The sequence below is a fragment of the Homo sapiens genome, chromosome 3, assembly GCF_000001405.40.
Source record: "Homo sapiens chromosome 3, GRCh38.p14 Primary Assembly".
Lineage (NCBI taxonomy): Eukaryota > Metazoa > Chordata > Mammalia > Primates > Hominidae > Homo > Homo sapiens.
In genome coordinates, this window is record NC_000003.12 from 149871654 (window position 1) to 149889126 (window position 17473).

Below are 17473 nucleotides of genomic sequence, written 5' to 3' on the forward strand. Positions count from 1 at the left end.
ATTATGTGCATTTCATTGTCTGCTAACATGAAAGAAAGTTAATTTTTAAGACATATTTGCTTGGTTTGAAAATGTCAAATATTGTTCGAAAATATACCAGTGGTTGTCTTTGGGGTGATTGGCTTATGCCTGAGTTTGCTTATTATTATTATTTTTTTAACTTCAATACAAAAGATAGAACTTATTTTAGAAAACTAAATGCTTGTGAAAGCAAATGCTGCTTTAGAAGTTCCGTGATTGTGAGCAATTTTACATGCCCAATGATACATCTAGCATAATGCAAAACACATGACAAATCGAAAAGATATTTGTAGAAGTAAGTTGATTGATTTACTGAGTGAAACAGAGAGATAATTTTTACCAATTCTTTTTCAGGGTTTTTTGATTAACTCAAAACCAGAGAATGCCTGTGAACCCATAGTGCCTCCACCAGTAAAAGACAATTCATCTGGCACTTTCATCGTGTTAATTAGAAGACTTGATTGTAATTTTGATATAAAGGTATGATTATCTTTTTTCATTTTTTGTTTCCTATTTGTTCAGTTAGCTAATTTAAATCATTTACATCCTCCCTTGTTTCAGAAAACATTTAAAATTTAAAATCCAGTAAGATTGAAAATAAACTGGATTCATAGAATAGAAATAATGTTTACTGGTTCTAAGAATTTTCAGGCATTTGTTGGACATCTTGAACTGTGGTTTAACAGTGGAATGTTACTTGATCTCATCTAGGAATGAAAACTTAACTTCAGCCTTTAGTTTTATGCTTTTACCCTTCCAGTATCAATCTCAAACCTACATCTATACCTGTGTCTACATTGTCATTGAGGTTTCTCTTTTGTAATAAGTTAAATCTGCCCCTGTGTAAAGTTTTTTCTCTCTGACATGGGTTAAGCTAGCATTTCAGATAGTAAAACAAGGTTTACCCACCTCCGTCACCATATATCACCAGTGCTGCTCTAGGTGTATGGTTTTTTAAAGTCTGTTTTGGGATTGGCATTGGCAAAGGAGCCACATTGAGGCCTATGTAAAATAAACCTTGATGTAACTGTTACTGGACTACCTCAGAGCTGAGTGTCATATAGTGTCTTGCATGTATCTCCCAGAATAGGACATGGGCTATTATTTCATGTCACTTGGTCTTAGATAATTTGTCCGTTCAGCAAGAAAAACCGCCCTGTCATGCTGTGCATGAATTTTCTCTGCAATTTTGATTGCATGGAAGAAATGATACCTCCATAGTAAACTTATGAGAGGAATAAAATAATATAAAGGGATTTGAAAATGTATAGTACTGTATAAATGATAGTTATTGTTACTACTTTATGTTAGTTCCAAATATAGACTCTCAATTGCCTTTAAATGGGAATAAATTAGAGCTTGAAGTCAAAGTAGTAGACTTCCTGCTCCTCAGAGTTGTTTATGATAGTTTAAATTTAACTGTTTTATCCAGAACTAAACTATAATAATTACAGGTTGCTTCAGTTAAAATTAAATGTTATTGTAATGTTTCATTAATTTCTTGCTGCTAAGAAATTAAAAGTAAACTAATTCTATTGATCCCAAGGTTTACTACACTATTATGCTATGTAATTTCTGGACTCGGTACAGTCTGATAATTAGAAACTAGAATACTTTTTTGCTGTTGTTATAACTTTCCTTTATAGGCAGGGATGGCAGATGGTACACTTTGAAAATTAGGGAAATACTGTTATTGAATATCTGTTTTTGAAGATGAAACCACAGCTCAGGAATGAATACAGTAGGCTTGTTAGCCTTCTTGTCCCTTTAGTGGATCCTCATCATGAGTCTGAGTACTTCTAAAGGAGTTTAATGATTTAGTCATTACTCCAGCTCATCTCTTTTCACTGCTTGCCTTGAATTTTATGTTGCAGCCATACTGCCTACCTGAACTCTCTCAACTGGCTGTGCCATGCTGATCATACATTTGTGCCTTTACATGTACTATTTTCTCTGTCCAAGATCTCTGTCTCCAGTGATCTTTACCACCCATTTATCTGTCTCATCGGTTACATGCTAGCTGAGGATGTTACCTCCTCAGGGAGCCTTACTTTTCTTTCTACTTCCTCTGTTGCAGTGCAGACCATTCCAGCTCAATGTGCCACCCTTCCACTTTGTAAATACTTCCTTCATTGCTTTTTATCACATTGTTGTTACTTTTTATTGAATATATATATCTCACTTATTTGTGAATTGATGGTGTTTAGAATTCATGTTTTAGTCATATTTATGTATCCAATTTGTATTATAGTGTGTGGTAATCAATAAAGACTTATTAAATGAAGCTGTGTAATAGTCTTTTGCTTATGTGTCTAATATATTCTTGAAAAACATGTACATATGAAAAACATGGAAGAAGTTTTCAGTTGAGCCATTCTAATGTTAGACAGGGAAATGTTAAAAAAATTCTCATTGTACTTTACCATGTAGGCACAGTTTTTATGAATAAGGGTCTAGTCTGTTGTACATGTTCTTTAACTTGGTTATTTTTTCCTCCATAAATACACAGTGGAGTGTATTCTGGCCATTTAAGGCTAAAGATTCCTTACTTATGTCATTCCTAATGATTTCTGTCTTTGTCAGAGTTGTATAAATTTCTGGAACATCAGTTTATAGGGGAGACACAATGATTATAATCAAGGTCTGGAAACAGACTGTATACATTTCAATCTCATCTTTATTATTTACTAGCAGTATGATCTTGGACAAGTTATTTTACCTCTGTGTGCCTCAATTTCCTTATCTGTAAAATAAGAATTATAATGTTCCCTATATGATAGGATTGTTGGGAGGATCAAATGAACTAATCAATGTTAAATGCCTACCAAACAGCACCTTGCACACAGGAAGGAGGCAAGTGGGTCTTAGCTGTTGATGTTTTATGCTTTTTACCATTAGAATTAAATAGAATAAGGGTAAAGATGGCAAAATTCCTGACTTTTCAGAAATTAAATTGTCTGGTAAGTCACATGTGATATAGCAACTCAGTGTCAGCTGATGTAAAATTTCTGACTTGGCTTATAAAGACAGTTTAGTCATGCCATTGTGGAAAGTATGTTTCATAAATTTGTAATAGTAAGAATTATGGATCACCTATCAAGGTAGTGTGACTGGGTAAGGATAAAGTCATTATGGGTACTGGGAAAACAACTGGAATCGCACCCTAAAGAAGATTTCCTTTCTAGAGTGGTTACTGATGGATAAGCTGTTAGCCTTATTAGCTGTAATTTTCATATCAGAAATCTCTGACTGCATTTAATGAGCTTCCAAAATGGTTATATACAGTTTTATATTAAGTGTGTTGTGGAATTCAGTCATCAGTGTTAATATATATCTCTTATAGATAATCAGTAGTGGTTCATTCATGTATATCCACAATTTTGTATGATGCATTGACTTAAGATAGTTAGAAAAATGATATATTTCCTTATTTATTACATAGCTTACTAGGACTGAGTACTGAGGAAAACTTAATTCAACTCCATACATAATACTACAATTGATGGTAGTGCAGGGTTATATTTTGGCATGCCTCTTATCCAAAGTGACATACAAATTATCTCAGACAAAGGAGAATTGGCTCTATCTTTTAAAATTTTCCTTGGAGAAAGGAACTCTTTGTTGTAGACCACAAAGAGAAAAGAAACAAGGAATAAAAATTTATCGAGTTATTCCAGATGATTAATGTTGGTGAGTATTTCAGGATTTTTACAACTCTTTTAGTTTTGTTTTAAACAGATTAAAGAAACCTACACTTTTCTTACTTCTTTAAAAGGAAATGAATAAGTGGAATGTATGTTATAATTTTTAAAATGGCATATTTTCTTCATACAAACCATCCCAAGTGATTTGTGACTCAAAGATAGCCACGAAGGCAGCAGAAATGCAATTAACAATTCCTGGAGGAAAGGGAATTGCTTTCCAAATAAAGAGAGCCATTGTTTAATTTTTTATCTTCTGTTGAGAGAAGCACATATGAACCTTTTAATCTGTCTTACCTTGAGGAGATGCAGCAAAACCCATGCTCAGAATGAATGTTTGAATATGTAGAATATCCAAAAAGCCAGTAAGAAGAACTATTGATTACATGTCAGGTACTTATTCTAAAAGTAATCACTTACACTGTTTTACAAAAACTGTATCCTCTGAAAAATACAGCTCTTTAGAGGAAAAGCGAAACAGTGCTATTTTGTCTTTGTATGATGCTGTTCTTTACTGTGACAAAAATTGACTTTGAAGCATTTTGAGGGAGATATTTCTCAAAAGGCTTGAATTGGCATCCCAGTGAGAAATACGACTTTAAAAAAAATCTGTAAAAATACCTAGTAATTGAAAGGCCATTAAAATAATCACTTAACATTGAACTTTCAGAGCTATACAATTTTCTGTGTATATAACTGAATAAAGACAAGTTATAAAAAAATCTGTCCATTGTCATTTCAGTACCAGATGCTTTCATTACTTGGGTATAATGGTAAGTCACCAATTTCTTTGAGTAGCCAATTTACTGTATTTTAGCTGGACTTTAGCAAAGGCTGGTAAACAGAAATGGTGCAACATATGCACTTTATTCAGCAGTGTGTGCTGAATCTTATTCTATCTTATGTGTGAATGAGTATTTTTGAAAAATGCAGCTGCAAAGCCATCTAGGCCAGTTACCAAGACTGAAAGGACTTAGATATTATTCTCCCTTCCCACACCCCCTTTTTTGTGGGCATGAATGGAGGTACATTTGGATTGTAGATGATAAGGAATATGTTGGGTCTCTTCAGAGCTATTTTCTGCTGTAATGTGGCTTTTATAAAACTTAACTGGGATACAGATACAAAACTTAACTGGGATACTTTACCTGACTTCTGCCTCTCTCTCAAGTCTCATCTCTACTTTGCCACTCCTCCCACCTCGTAAGAATTTACAAGTCCCCATATGTGCTGAGCAGTCTCTCCCACTCTGTCTTAGTTTCTGTCATGTCCTCCATCTGGCATGTCCTCCTTCTACTTGTCTGTCTGGCCAATCTGACTTTATTTTAAATCTGAGATAAACTGTGTCCTGTCTGAAACCTTCCCTGATTTTCTTCAAGGTAGAAGTCATCATATCTTTTTTTTTTTTTTTTTTTTTTTTGAGATGGAGTTTTGCTCTTGTTGCCCAGGCTGGAGTGCAGTAGCACGGTCTTGGCTCACTGCAACCTCTGCCTCCCGGGTTCAAGCAATTCTCTTGCCTCAGCCTCCTGAGTAGCTGGGATTACAGGTGCGTGCCACCACGCCCCACTAATTTTTTGTGTTTTTAGTAGAGATGGTATTTCATCATGTTGGCCAGGCTAGTCTTGAACTCCTGGCCTCAGGTGATCCACCCGCCTCGGCCTCTCAAAGTGCAGGGATTACAGGCGTGAGCCACCACACCCGGCCCGTATCTTTTATATACTATTTAATCCCACATCAGTCTCTGTTTCTCTCTGTGAGAGAAAAATATCATGTTTTAGATTCTGTAGTGCTAGTGCCTAATGCATTATATGGCATTGGTAGATGAATAATAAATATTTGCAAAGTGATTTACTTTAAAAACCTTAAGGGCTTATAATAAAATGTGAATAGATTAGAGCCTAAACAGTATCACTGGAACTTTCCATTTGCTTCATGTTCATTTCACTTAATGCTTTTGGCATTATTTCTAAGCCTAGATATTTATTTATCCCACAGATATTTTTCTCTAGTTCTCAATGTTTATAGAATTTTTTTAAATTACCATAAACATTTTTGGGATTATTTGATCATATCATAATAACTCTTTTTCTTTCTGTCTTTTTTTTTTTTTTTTTTTTGGTGATTTTTTTGTTATCTCAGAAAGTAGCCCTCTAGTTTTCCTTTCTAGACTTACCTTTCATTACATTATCCCCTTTCAGGCCTTCAGTCAAACACATTACTTGTCCCCAGAACATACTCTGCACTACTATTTCAGTAGTAGTAAGCAAGTAGATACGACCTTAAGTAGAAATTAAACTCTGCAAATTACCTGAAAGTCATTTAATATCATTTAATTTTTCATAATGTATATATTTCTATAAAGTGATGTATAACATTTGTTATTAATCTACTTCAGAATCATGTTTAAAAGATTCCACTAAAGGAGCATATTCAAGGATATTCGATGGATGGAAACAGTTCTATCCATATATAGTTCAATCAAACAGCTTTGTGCTGCTAATTCATTCATTCATTTGTTCATTCATTTCTTCCACCCTTTAATTGGTAAATATACTTGCATTTTCATGATTAGGTTTCTTTATACACAAATTTATTCAATATTAAAATAACAAAGCAAAATTCCCTTCTTTTACCAGGAAGGTAATCTTTCATGAAAGAAAAAAGCTGAAAAATATTAATTTACATGTGCTTTATTCTAATCTAATGAAGCAGTGTAATGCCAGTAACTTTATTTATGTATCTATTCCCCAAACATTCTTTTGCTTCAGAATTTTTACATAGGTATCCTTTAATCACAGACATCAGAATGCTAGACCATATACTTTTCAAGAGACTTACTGCTTTATTTTGGACTCAAGCAATAAAATGTATTAAAATCAAGATATTCAGATTACTCAGATATACTATAAATGAACGATGTCTAGGTAAGGAGGAAAGATGGGATCGAAAGAAAGAGAGAAAGATAGTTTTTATCACTGAACTATAATATTAATGAGAGTTAAAATGTCATAAGAGCCTGATACTCTCTTCTGAGGAGTAGCTCTTCTCAACATGGCCTGCAGTAGTCCTAAAATAATGTGCAGGAAAGAACAATGTTGAAATGGAATGTAATATTGGCAGGATTGCTTGCTATAATTCTGGATCTTATTTCAATAATTGATTATTCGATACTGCAAAGTTCCCAGGAATTTTTATCCAATAGATAAAATTAATGATTTACATTCACAATCTGAATCCTCAGATCTATTGCTCCATTCTCATCTGCATTGTTTTGATCACTTGAGAAAGAGATTCTACTTCTTAATTTCTTCTTATTTCTTTGGACTCAAAAAGATGATCATAGCTAGGTTTTGAGAATTATCTCTATTCTCTATGTCTCTCATTAATTTATTTCATTTTCTTCCCTTATAGAATAAGTACTTTTTCTCCTCTATTAGACATCTGGGTGGGGAGAAAGGGTATTTTGTGTCCAGGCTGATGGTTAATTTACTGTTCCTTTGTGGCTATGCTGAAGGAAGAGAAAATCAGTTCTCCAGAGAACTTTTCCATTTTGCACTTGGAAAGGTTTAGAAGCAGAGTTAGAGTGTGTTTTCTTTAGGGAATCTTTAGAAGGTAGACATTAAAGTGAAGGTCTAGTTGTGTCACATTTCTAGAACTGCAAAAACCCAATTTATAACTAGAAGTTTGAAGAGGCCAGGCTCCAGAACCATCCAGTATCTGTATTATGCTATTTTCTTTTTCGTTTTGACTTTTCACCTTTTTGTGTTTTGAAAGATGGAAGACACAGTAAAAGTATCTATAATGTGTATATGTGCAATTTAAATAATAGTAAAATGAATTTCTGTGTACTCAATACTTAGTTTAAGAGAGACCTGTTACTTTCTAATGTATCACTTTAATCAGACTTCATTAAAGACCTTGTTATCAGGTAATTTTTTTTTTTTTTTTTTGAGACAGGGTCTTATACTGTTGCCTGGGCTGGAGTGCAGTGGCATGAACATGGCTCACTGCAGCCTTGACCTCCTGGGGCTCAGGCGATCCTTCCACCTCAGCCTCCCAAGTAGCTAGGACTATATGCACACTCCACCATGCCTGGCTAATTTGTTTTGTTTTGTTGAGAGGGGGTCTTGTTATGTTGCTCAGACTGGTCTCAAACTCCTGGGCTCAAGTGATCCTTTTACCTTGGCCTTCCAAAGTGCTGAGATTACAGATGTGAACCATTGCATCTGGCCTGGTAATTCTTTATCTTCAAGATTTTATTCCATCTACAGATTATATTAAATGAGCTGATCTTCATAATGAGAAAGCTCTATATTTGCACTAATTTTACATTGATTTCAAATGTTTTAAATAAAGTGATGTTAAGTATACCATAAAGTGACTGCTCATTAAAGTTACTCATTTTTTATCTTGTGTTTATAATAGCTTGCAAAGGGAAAGTCTCTTTGTAAGGCCAGAACAAATTCTAGCAATACTGTGTATTTTCTAATTCTTTCTTTTTGCTACATTATACTGTTTTCATTACCTCTAGCCTGATCCTAACCTAAAAAACCCATGGATATGTCTTTTCTAATTTCAGATTCTTGGGAGTAGAGCTTATGTTTTATGCAGTTCTGTGTACTGAGCTTTTAGTACAGTGCCTACAATACCAGAAACAATTAACAGGCAGTAATGGAGGAGTATACTCAGAGATCTGTCGCTGGGTGGCGCTGAACATCAAAATTCTTACTGTAATTGCTCCATCACAGTTACTTTTCAAGTGCAATGGAAGTTCCTGTGTTACTTGTGAAATTCCTAGTAAGCTGATTTTAAGTACAGAAAGTTATCCTCTTGTTGCACAGAAAGTTATTCTAAAGCCTTTATTTTCAGTGGTGGGTGGGCTGAAATGGGGCCTCTGCTATGTTAGGATGAGAAATCATTAAGATTTGATTGGAATATGAATCCTATCAGTGTCTAAAAAATATGAACTTAGATCAGATCCTTTATTTTAAATATCTACTTTAATATACATAGGTAACTAGAGAATATTTATGAATAGCTTTTTTAGATTTAAATTGCAATTCTGACAAATATTTAGGCAGCTTTTAACTAGTATAGTTTATTTTAACTGGTGTGGTTCATTACAAAGTAAAGATTTTTTTAAAGCAGTTTTAACTTAAGCATAACTTACAAGTTTTAACTTATAGCAAGCATAACTACACATAAAGGTTATTCAGATTTTCTTAATGTCACTGGGAAAAAAAGACGAATGTAATTTAACTTTTAAATTAATTTTAATTTTATGTTATTCATTTTATTATCTTTAGTACTAATCATGTTCCAGCTACAGTATTAAGCTTCATAATACTGGAAATAGCCACATTCAAAGACCTATAAGCTAATGACTTTGATTTTTTGATGGGATGTTGCAGAACATGATTGTTGCAACATGGAACAATCATGTTGAAAGGCATCAATCTTTTTTCTGATTGCCAACAACCTATGGAATATTAAAAACTATCTATATGAGTGAGTTTCAAACTTTTTTGACTGCAACCCACCCACAGTAAGAAGTTTATTTTTACTTGTTCCCTAGTTTGTATACAGCACACAGTCTGACAATAAAATTTCATGGAATAGTACTTACCTACACTACCTATACGATAATAACTTGGTATATGAAATTTCTTTTTATTAAAAAATAAAATTCACTTGGGTTCACTAAATGACTTTACTGCCTGGTAATGGATCATGACCTATAGTTTGAAAAATGCAGATTTAGGCCAATCTTTTCTGTGTAGCAGTGAAAACTGGCAGGGACACTAAGAAGTATGCTTTTTGCCTAAGCACTTCTAAGTTCAAAAATTGCTTTTTATTTGTAATTTTAGTAGTAAATTGTGTCTCCCAGTATTTAAAATTGCTTGTCCATATGCCATAGATTGACTTTAAAATGATGCCATTGGAAAAAATAACAAAAGATCTTTGTTTTTTTTTGAGATAGAGTCTTGCTCTGTTGCCCAGGCTGGAATACAGTGGCTTGCTCGCAGCTCACTGCAACCTCCACCTTCCAGGTTCAAATGATTCTCCTGCCCTAGCCTCCTGAGTAGCTGATATTACAGGCACCCACCACCAGGCCTGGCTAATTTTCATATTTTTAGTAGAGATGGGGTTTCACCACGTTGTCCAGGCTGGCCTCGAACCCCTGACCTCAAGTGATCCACCCACCTCGGCCTTCCAAAGTGTTGGGATTACAGGTGTGAGCTACTGCACCCGGCCAACATAAGATCTTTAATAATTTAAGTTCCAAGCGTTTTGGCTTCTGTTTTTTGGTATACTGTACTTGAAACAAATAAGTATGGCTTTTTGTATAACACAAGATTTTACTAGCCCTACCAAAAATGTTTTCTAATGAAATAAATAAATTCAGCTTACCTCTAAGCTTAACATGTACAGTGGTAATATGCCACTTAGCAAAAGGTCAACTTTCCCAGAACATAGCCTCAGAGAAGAGAAGGAAACATGCCTTTGTACCACCATTATGAATGTTGCTAAGCTTCAGCGTTAAAACCATGTACTTTTCCTGGCAGTTTTTCTCAGAATTCTTATGCACTTAATTTTTTTTAAAGAATAGAATTCTTATCGGGTTTAGTTCTTTTTTTTTCTCTGCCACAGAGAAGGATATACAGATGGAGGAAGTCCAGAATAACTATTAGTAGAGTACCAGTGGTAAGCACAGAGAGAGGAAGTAACATATGACACTTAACATTAAGGAGAAAAACTATAGTCTGTTGAAGCATGTTCATGATGATCTCGAGTAACTGGAAAAGGTCAAGTCACATTTGGTGAAAAGGTGGGGAAAATGCAACATATCACAAAAATTTTTATCCAAAATGACTAAAGTAAAATTTCCTGTGTGCTTTCGTGGAGGGTGGGTGGGGGAGGGGGTAGGAAGGAACTAACCAACAGATACGAGGAAATTTTATTTTTTTGACTTATATATTGCTGGATAGGGCTGGATAATCAGTTACCTTAGTTGCAGTTTACTTTAAACAACTATTTATATGAGAGATATTTTTCTAGGCTTGAGATATACATAAACAAAAAAGATTGTTCTTAAGGAACATTAAAGCCTGGTACTTAAAATGCTCTAAATGTTATTTTGTCAGATCTCTGTTTTTCAAGGTGAAAACAGGCTTAGTTTTCTAGTAATTAATGTTTATACCAAGAAGCATGAAAACAGATCTTTTGTTAATTTTTAAAGTAATACTCTGAAACATGAATTTTCACAAATTTTGCTTACTAGTATTGTGCTATGCACTTACCTTTACTAAGTGCAGGATGATTTTGTTTTTATTTTCAATTTGAGACCATGATGAAATTAGTCCATATTTATATCATGTTTTTAATGAGCCATGGTAGTTGAAAATTAATCTATTTAAAGTTAAGTATGTGAAGCTGGCCTGATTAAAATGTATCAGGTTGTCACAGTACTCAGCTGGATATTTAAAAAATAATGCCCTCAAGACAAAAGCTTGTGGTTCATGTTACAACAAAGATGAAAATACAGGTATACTTCTGAAGTTAATCCATTGTTAGTAACTACCAAGTGTTTTTTCTTAAACAGTTTTAAAATAAGCCCCATATTTTATGTCTTATACATTCTCTCTCTGTACAACAGCAGCATTCTCCTACATGTAGTTACCACACTTAAGAAATTTAATATTGATAAATATTATCTAATAATATAAACTACATGTTTAAATTTCCTAATTGTGTCCAAAATATCTCTTATAGTTGTTTTCTTTTTAACCATTTCAGGATCCAATCATGAATCCCAGACTAAACATATTCAGCTTAGTTGTCATGTCTCCTTTAATCTACAACAGCTCTTGATTCTTTTTTTCCTACTTTGTGCATTTCTGTGTTTCAGTTTAATAATTTCTATTCCTTTGTCTTCACATTTACTGATCCTTTATTCTACAATGTCTATAATCTTTTAAGCCCACCTAGTGAACTTTTCATATTGTATCTCTTTTATCTAGGAGTTTCACTTGGATCTTTAAAATGTGTGTGTATGTGTGTGTGTATGTATCATCCATTTCTCTGAGCCTTATGTTTATATTCTCCTTCAAATCCTTGAACGTAATTTATAATTTTATGTCTTTATATTACATGTAAATGTATTCTTATAATAATAAATTATAATTTATAGCTGTTTTAAAATCCTTGTCTGCTATTCATAATTCCGTATCCATGTAATTTCTGGGTCTGTTTCTGTTGAATGGTTTTTCTCATGGTTATGGGTCACATTTTCTTGCTTCTTGGCGTGTCTACCTTTTTTTTTTTCAACTTTCATTTTTTAAGTTCTGGGGTACATGTACAGGATGTGCAGGTTTGGTACATAGGTAAACGTGTGCCATGGTGGTTTGCTGCACGGATCAACCCATCACCCAAGAATTAAGCCCAGCATCCATTAGCTATTCTTCTGATGCTCTCTCTCCCCCGACCCTCCCTGAGAAGTACCAGTGTATGTTCTCCACCCTGTGTCCATGTGTTCTCATTGTTTAGCTCCCACTTATAAGTGAGAACACGTGGTGTTTGGTTTTCTGTTTCTGCGTTAGTTTGCCAAGGATAACGGCATCCAGCTCCATTCATGTCCCTGAGAAGGACATGATCTCGTTCCTTTTTATGGCTGCATAGTATTCCATGGTGTATATGTACCACATTTGCTTTATCTAGTCTATGATTGATGGGCATTTGGGTCAATTCCGTATCTTTGTTGTGAATAGTGCATGTCTAGTAACTTTTGATTAGATGTTGGACATAGTGTTGTATTGTCATATGTCTTGGTCTTTAAAGACCTTTTAATTTTGTTGTGGCTGGCAGTAAGTTACTTGCAGATGAGCTTGGTTATTTTCAGGCTTGTTTTTAAAGTTTGTTAAGTTGATGAAGAGTTGCCTTTACTGTAGCACTACTATTTTAGCTGTACTAATAAGGTATAACCCTTCTAGGGTGTCCTCTGAATGATCTAGTATTCAAGGAAGTCTCCCCTCTCTGGCTGGTCAGAGCTTGAACTCTTCCTGATCCTGTCTGAATTCTGGAAATTGTTAATCTTTTTTCCAGTAATTGTTTTTTTTTCCCTAGTGAGCTTGTTTGTCCAGGCTTATAAGGTCTCACTGTATGCATGCATATGCCATTCTTATATTTAGCCAAAGACCTAAAGGGAACCCATCTACATTTTTTTTTAGTTTTTTATTTAAAATTTTTGTGGGTACATAGTAGGTGTATGTATTTATAGGATACATGACATTTTTTGATACAAACATGTAATGTATAATAATCACATCATAGAAAATGGAGTATCTATGACCTCGAGCATTTATCCTTTGTGTTACATACAATTCAGTTTTACTTTTTAGTTCCTTTAGAATGTACAATTAAATTATTAACTATAGTAACCCTGTTGTGCTATCAAGTACTAGGTCTTATTTATTCTGTGTGTGTGTGTGTGGTTTTTTTTTTGTACCCATTAACCATCCCCATCTCCCCCCACTACACTACTCTCTTATCTCCATGAGTTCAATTGTTTTGATTTTTAGATCCCACAAATAAGTGAAAACATGTGATGTTTGTCTTTCTGTGCCTGGCTCATTTCACTTAACATAGTGGCTTTCAGTTTCATTCATGTTGCAAATGACAGGATCTCATTTTTTCTAATGGCTGAATAGTACTCCATTGTGTCTAAGTACCACATTTTCTTTATTCATTCACCTGTGGATGGACACTTAGGTTGTTTCCAAGTCTTGGCTATTGTGAACAGTGCTGCAACAAACATGGGAGCTTGGGTATCTCTTTCATATAGTGATTTTCTTTCTTTGGGGAATATACCCAGCACTGAGGTTGCTGGATCATATGGCAGCTCTATTTTTAGTTTTTTTGAGGAATCTCCAAGCCGTTCTCCCTAGTGATTGTGCTAATTTACATTCCTACCAACAGTGTACAGGGTTCCCTTTTCTCCACATACTCTCCAGCATTTCTTGTTGCCTGTTTTTTTTGGATAAAAGCATTTCAACTGGGGTGAGATGATATCTCATTGTAGTTTTGACTTGCATTTATCTGATGATCAGTGATGTTGAGCACATTTTTATTTGCCTATTTCCCATTTGTATGTCTTCTTTTGAGAAATGTCTATTCAAATCTTTTGCCCATTTATTAATTGGATTATCAGACTTTTTTCCTATAGCATTGTTTGAACTCCTTATATATTCTGGTTATTGATTCCTTTTCAGATGGGTAGTTTGCAGATATTTTCTCCTAATCTGTAGGTTGTCTCTTTACTTTGTTGATTGTTTCCTTTGCTGCGTGGAAGGCTTTTATCTTGATAGGAGTCCATTTGTCCCTTTTGCTTTGGTTGCCTGTGCTTATGGGGTATTACTCAAGAAATTTTTGCCCAGACAAATGTCCTGGAGATTTTCCCCAATGTTTTCTTGTAGTAATTTCATAATTTGAGATGTTAAATTTAAGTATTTCATCCATTTTGGTTTGATATTTTTATATGGCAAGAAATAGGGGTCTAGTTTCATTCTTCTGGATATGTACCTCCAGTTTTCTCAGCGCCATTCATTGAAGAGACTGTCTTTTCCCCAGTGTATGTTCTTGACATTATTGTCAAAAATGAGTTCACTGTAGGTGTGTGGATTTGTTTCTGTGTTTTCTATTCTGTTCCATTGTTCTGTGTATCTTTTTATGCCAGCATCATGCTGTTTTGGTTACTATAGCTGTGTAGTATAATTTGAAGTCAGGTAATGTGATTCCTTCAGTTTTGTTCTTTTTGCTGAGGATACCTTTGTCTCTTCTTGGTCTTTTGTGGTTTCATATAAATTTTACAATTGTTTTTCTCTATTTCTGTGAAGAATGTCATTGGTTTTGATAGACATTGCATTGAATCTGTAGATTGCTTTGGGTAGTGTGGGCATTTTAACAATATTGATTCTTCCAATCTATGAACATGGATTTTTTTCTCTTAATTTTATTTTGGATTGTTCATTGCTAGTGTATAGAGAAACAGTGGATTTATGTATATTGATCTTGTATCCTGTCACATTGCTAAACTGGTTTATTAGTTTTAGTAGTTTATTTGTGGATTCTTTCATATGATTGATTGATTGATTGATCGAGATATCATTTGCACATACATATAGTTTTACTTCTTCTTTTCCAATCTGGAAGCATTTTATTTCAATTTCTTGCCTAATTTTCCTGGCTAGAACTGCCTGTACAATACTAAATAGAAGGGCCAAGAGTGGAATTCTTGTCTTTCTGATCCTAGAGAGAAGGCATTAAGTCTTTTAACCTGAAGTATGATGTTAGCTGTGATTTCTCATAGATGCTCTTTATCAGGTTGAGTTCACTTCTATTTCTGTTCGTTGAGTACTTTTATCATGAAAGGATATGATTTTTTCAAATGTATAGTGTTAGTAGTATCCAAATAAGTTTTGATATGTTTTGTTTTTGCTTTCATTCATCTCAAAGTATTGTAAAATTTCCTTTGTGATTTTTTGACCCATTGATTAGGAGTGTGTTATTTAATTTTGAAATATTTGTGAATTTCCCAAATTTCCTTCTGATGTTAATCTTTAATTTCATTCCACTATGATCGGAGAATATACTTTGTGTGATTTCAGTACTTTTAAAGTTATCCAGGGACGTTGAAGAGGACAGGAGAAACAGACTTGAATCGCTGACACCACCCTTCTTCATTCCCCGCCCGCTTCCCGGCAGCAACCACGCAATGCAGAGTCTGTGCACTAGGAGTAGCGAGAGCACAGTGACTAGAGGACTTTACATGGAACTCAGTGCTGCCCTGTCACACAGTTCAACAATGATAGTTGGAGACTGCAATGCCCCAATTTCAATAATGAATAGAACAGCTTGTCAGAAAATCAGTAAGGAAACACAAGACTTGAGCAACAGTATAAATCATCTAGACCAAACCGATACCTATAGAATGTTCCATCCAACAACAGATGTTGATCTCCAGGGCTCAGGTGATCCTCCCACCTCAGCCTCCTGAGTAGCTGGGACTACAGGCATGTGCCATCACACCCAGCTTATTTTTAAATTTTTTGTAGAGATGGGGTCTCTTTACATTGCCAGGCTGGTCTTCAGTTCCTGGAATCAAACAATCCTACTGTCTCAGCCTCCCAAAGTGCTGGGATTACAGGCATGAGCCACCATGCCCTGTCTTCTAGAAGTCTTTTTGCAGATTCATTTAAGTAGATGATTATGTGAACTGCAGATAAAGACTGTTTTAGTTTTTCATTTCTTCATCCATATGCACTTTTACACACTCTCTCTTCTCTCCTCTCCCTTTGCCCTACTCCCACCACCTTATTGCATTGGCTAAGAGCTTCAGTACAATGTTGAATAGAAGCAGTAAGAGTGAATATCTTCATTTTGTTGCTGTTACTAAGGAGAAAGCATTCAGTCTTTTACCAGCAAATAGAATGTTAATTGTAAGAGTTTTGTAAGTAACACTATTAACAGAAGATATTTTAAAATAATATGAAGCCAAGTTCATACTTGAACATGAAAGTTGATTGGGAGCAAAAAGAAAAGAAAGACGCTTTAAAGCTACTGAAGACATCATGAGTAAATTGGAATTCAAGAAAATGTAGTCATTCTCTTCCTAGTGAGTAAGCACTTAAAATACACCTTGAGAGAGGTGTATTTTTATATTTATTCCTAAACCATGGTAGATGAATTTTCCCAGTATTTATTACTTTTTTCTACTTCTATTCTTATTAGTTTACTTGTTTTAGTAATAAAATTATGACTTGTCACTGAAATTTTCCTCTACCTCACATATATTTTTATTCTGCACGCATTACTGTTTGACATATTTCAGTATATCCTCTTTTAACTTCCCAATTAAAATAAATGATCTATTTGTACTTATAAAAATGTTGAAATAGTGAACTAAAATTTATGTTATTAAAATTAGAAGAGAGTATATTTGTAAAAGCTACTATTTATCATCAGATATCTTTTGCCCATTATCTGAAGACAGATGTTCTCAGAAACACTGGGCATTTGCAGGAAATGAATGTATGCTGTTGCTGGAATATCCTCTGTCTGTCTGAAGTAGTCCTGCTTTTGGGCTTGCCTTTTCTCTGTTCTTCAAACATTACAAATTACTCTTCGTGCAAAACAGCACTATAATTCAGATAAAAGTTTTAGAACTTGAAATGCAGATTTGTATTTCAAGTAAATAATGTTCTAGTTCTAAGTATGTATCATTTTACATGAATATCCAGACTCCTGTCTAATATAATAACTGGATTCTTTTCAAGGTTATTGTTCACCAGGGAAAGTCACCTCTCTTACATTTTTACCATTCTTGCAGGTGTGTAGCCTGGACATATACACATGTCTGCTTATTTGCAACATCTCTTCCCAGAGAAACAATGAAGTACACTTAACTTCGTTCATATATAGAAGTTAAAGAGGATTGAAGATTATAGGAAATGTAACAATGTGAATAGATTGCATTTTATTAGAAGTTTGTTTTAAACAACAAGGTAGCCAGATTTGTCTTTTTTTGAGATGGAGTCTTGCTCTGTCACCCAGGCCGAAGTCCAGTGGCGCGATCTCAGCTCACTGCAACCTCCGCCTCCTGGGTTCAAGCGATTCTCCTGCCTCAGCCTCCCGAGTAGCTGGGACTACAGGTGTGTGCCACCACGCCCAGCCAATTTTTGTACTTTTAGTAGAGA

The 17473-nt window shown here is 34.6% G+C and overlaps 1 protein-coding gene across 16 annotated transcripts in view; it reads left to right on the plus strand.

Annotated features, from left to right (window-relative positions):
• The window catches only part of RNF13 (ring finger protein 13), a 149452-nt gene that overhangs the window by 58966 nt on the left and 73013 nt on the right, over positions 1-17473 (plus strand). For all 16 annotated transcript variants that reach the window (NR_165474.1, XM_047447380.1, XM_011512373.3 and 13 more), the window contains one exon: positions 376-501. Coding sequence is in view for 9 of the 16 variants with exons in the window: in XM_047447380.1 (XP_047303336.1) it covers positions 376-501 (126 nt within the window). In the remaining 7 variants the exon portion in view is untranslated. The remainder of the gene's footprint in view (positions 1-375; positions 502-17473) is intronic.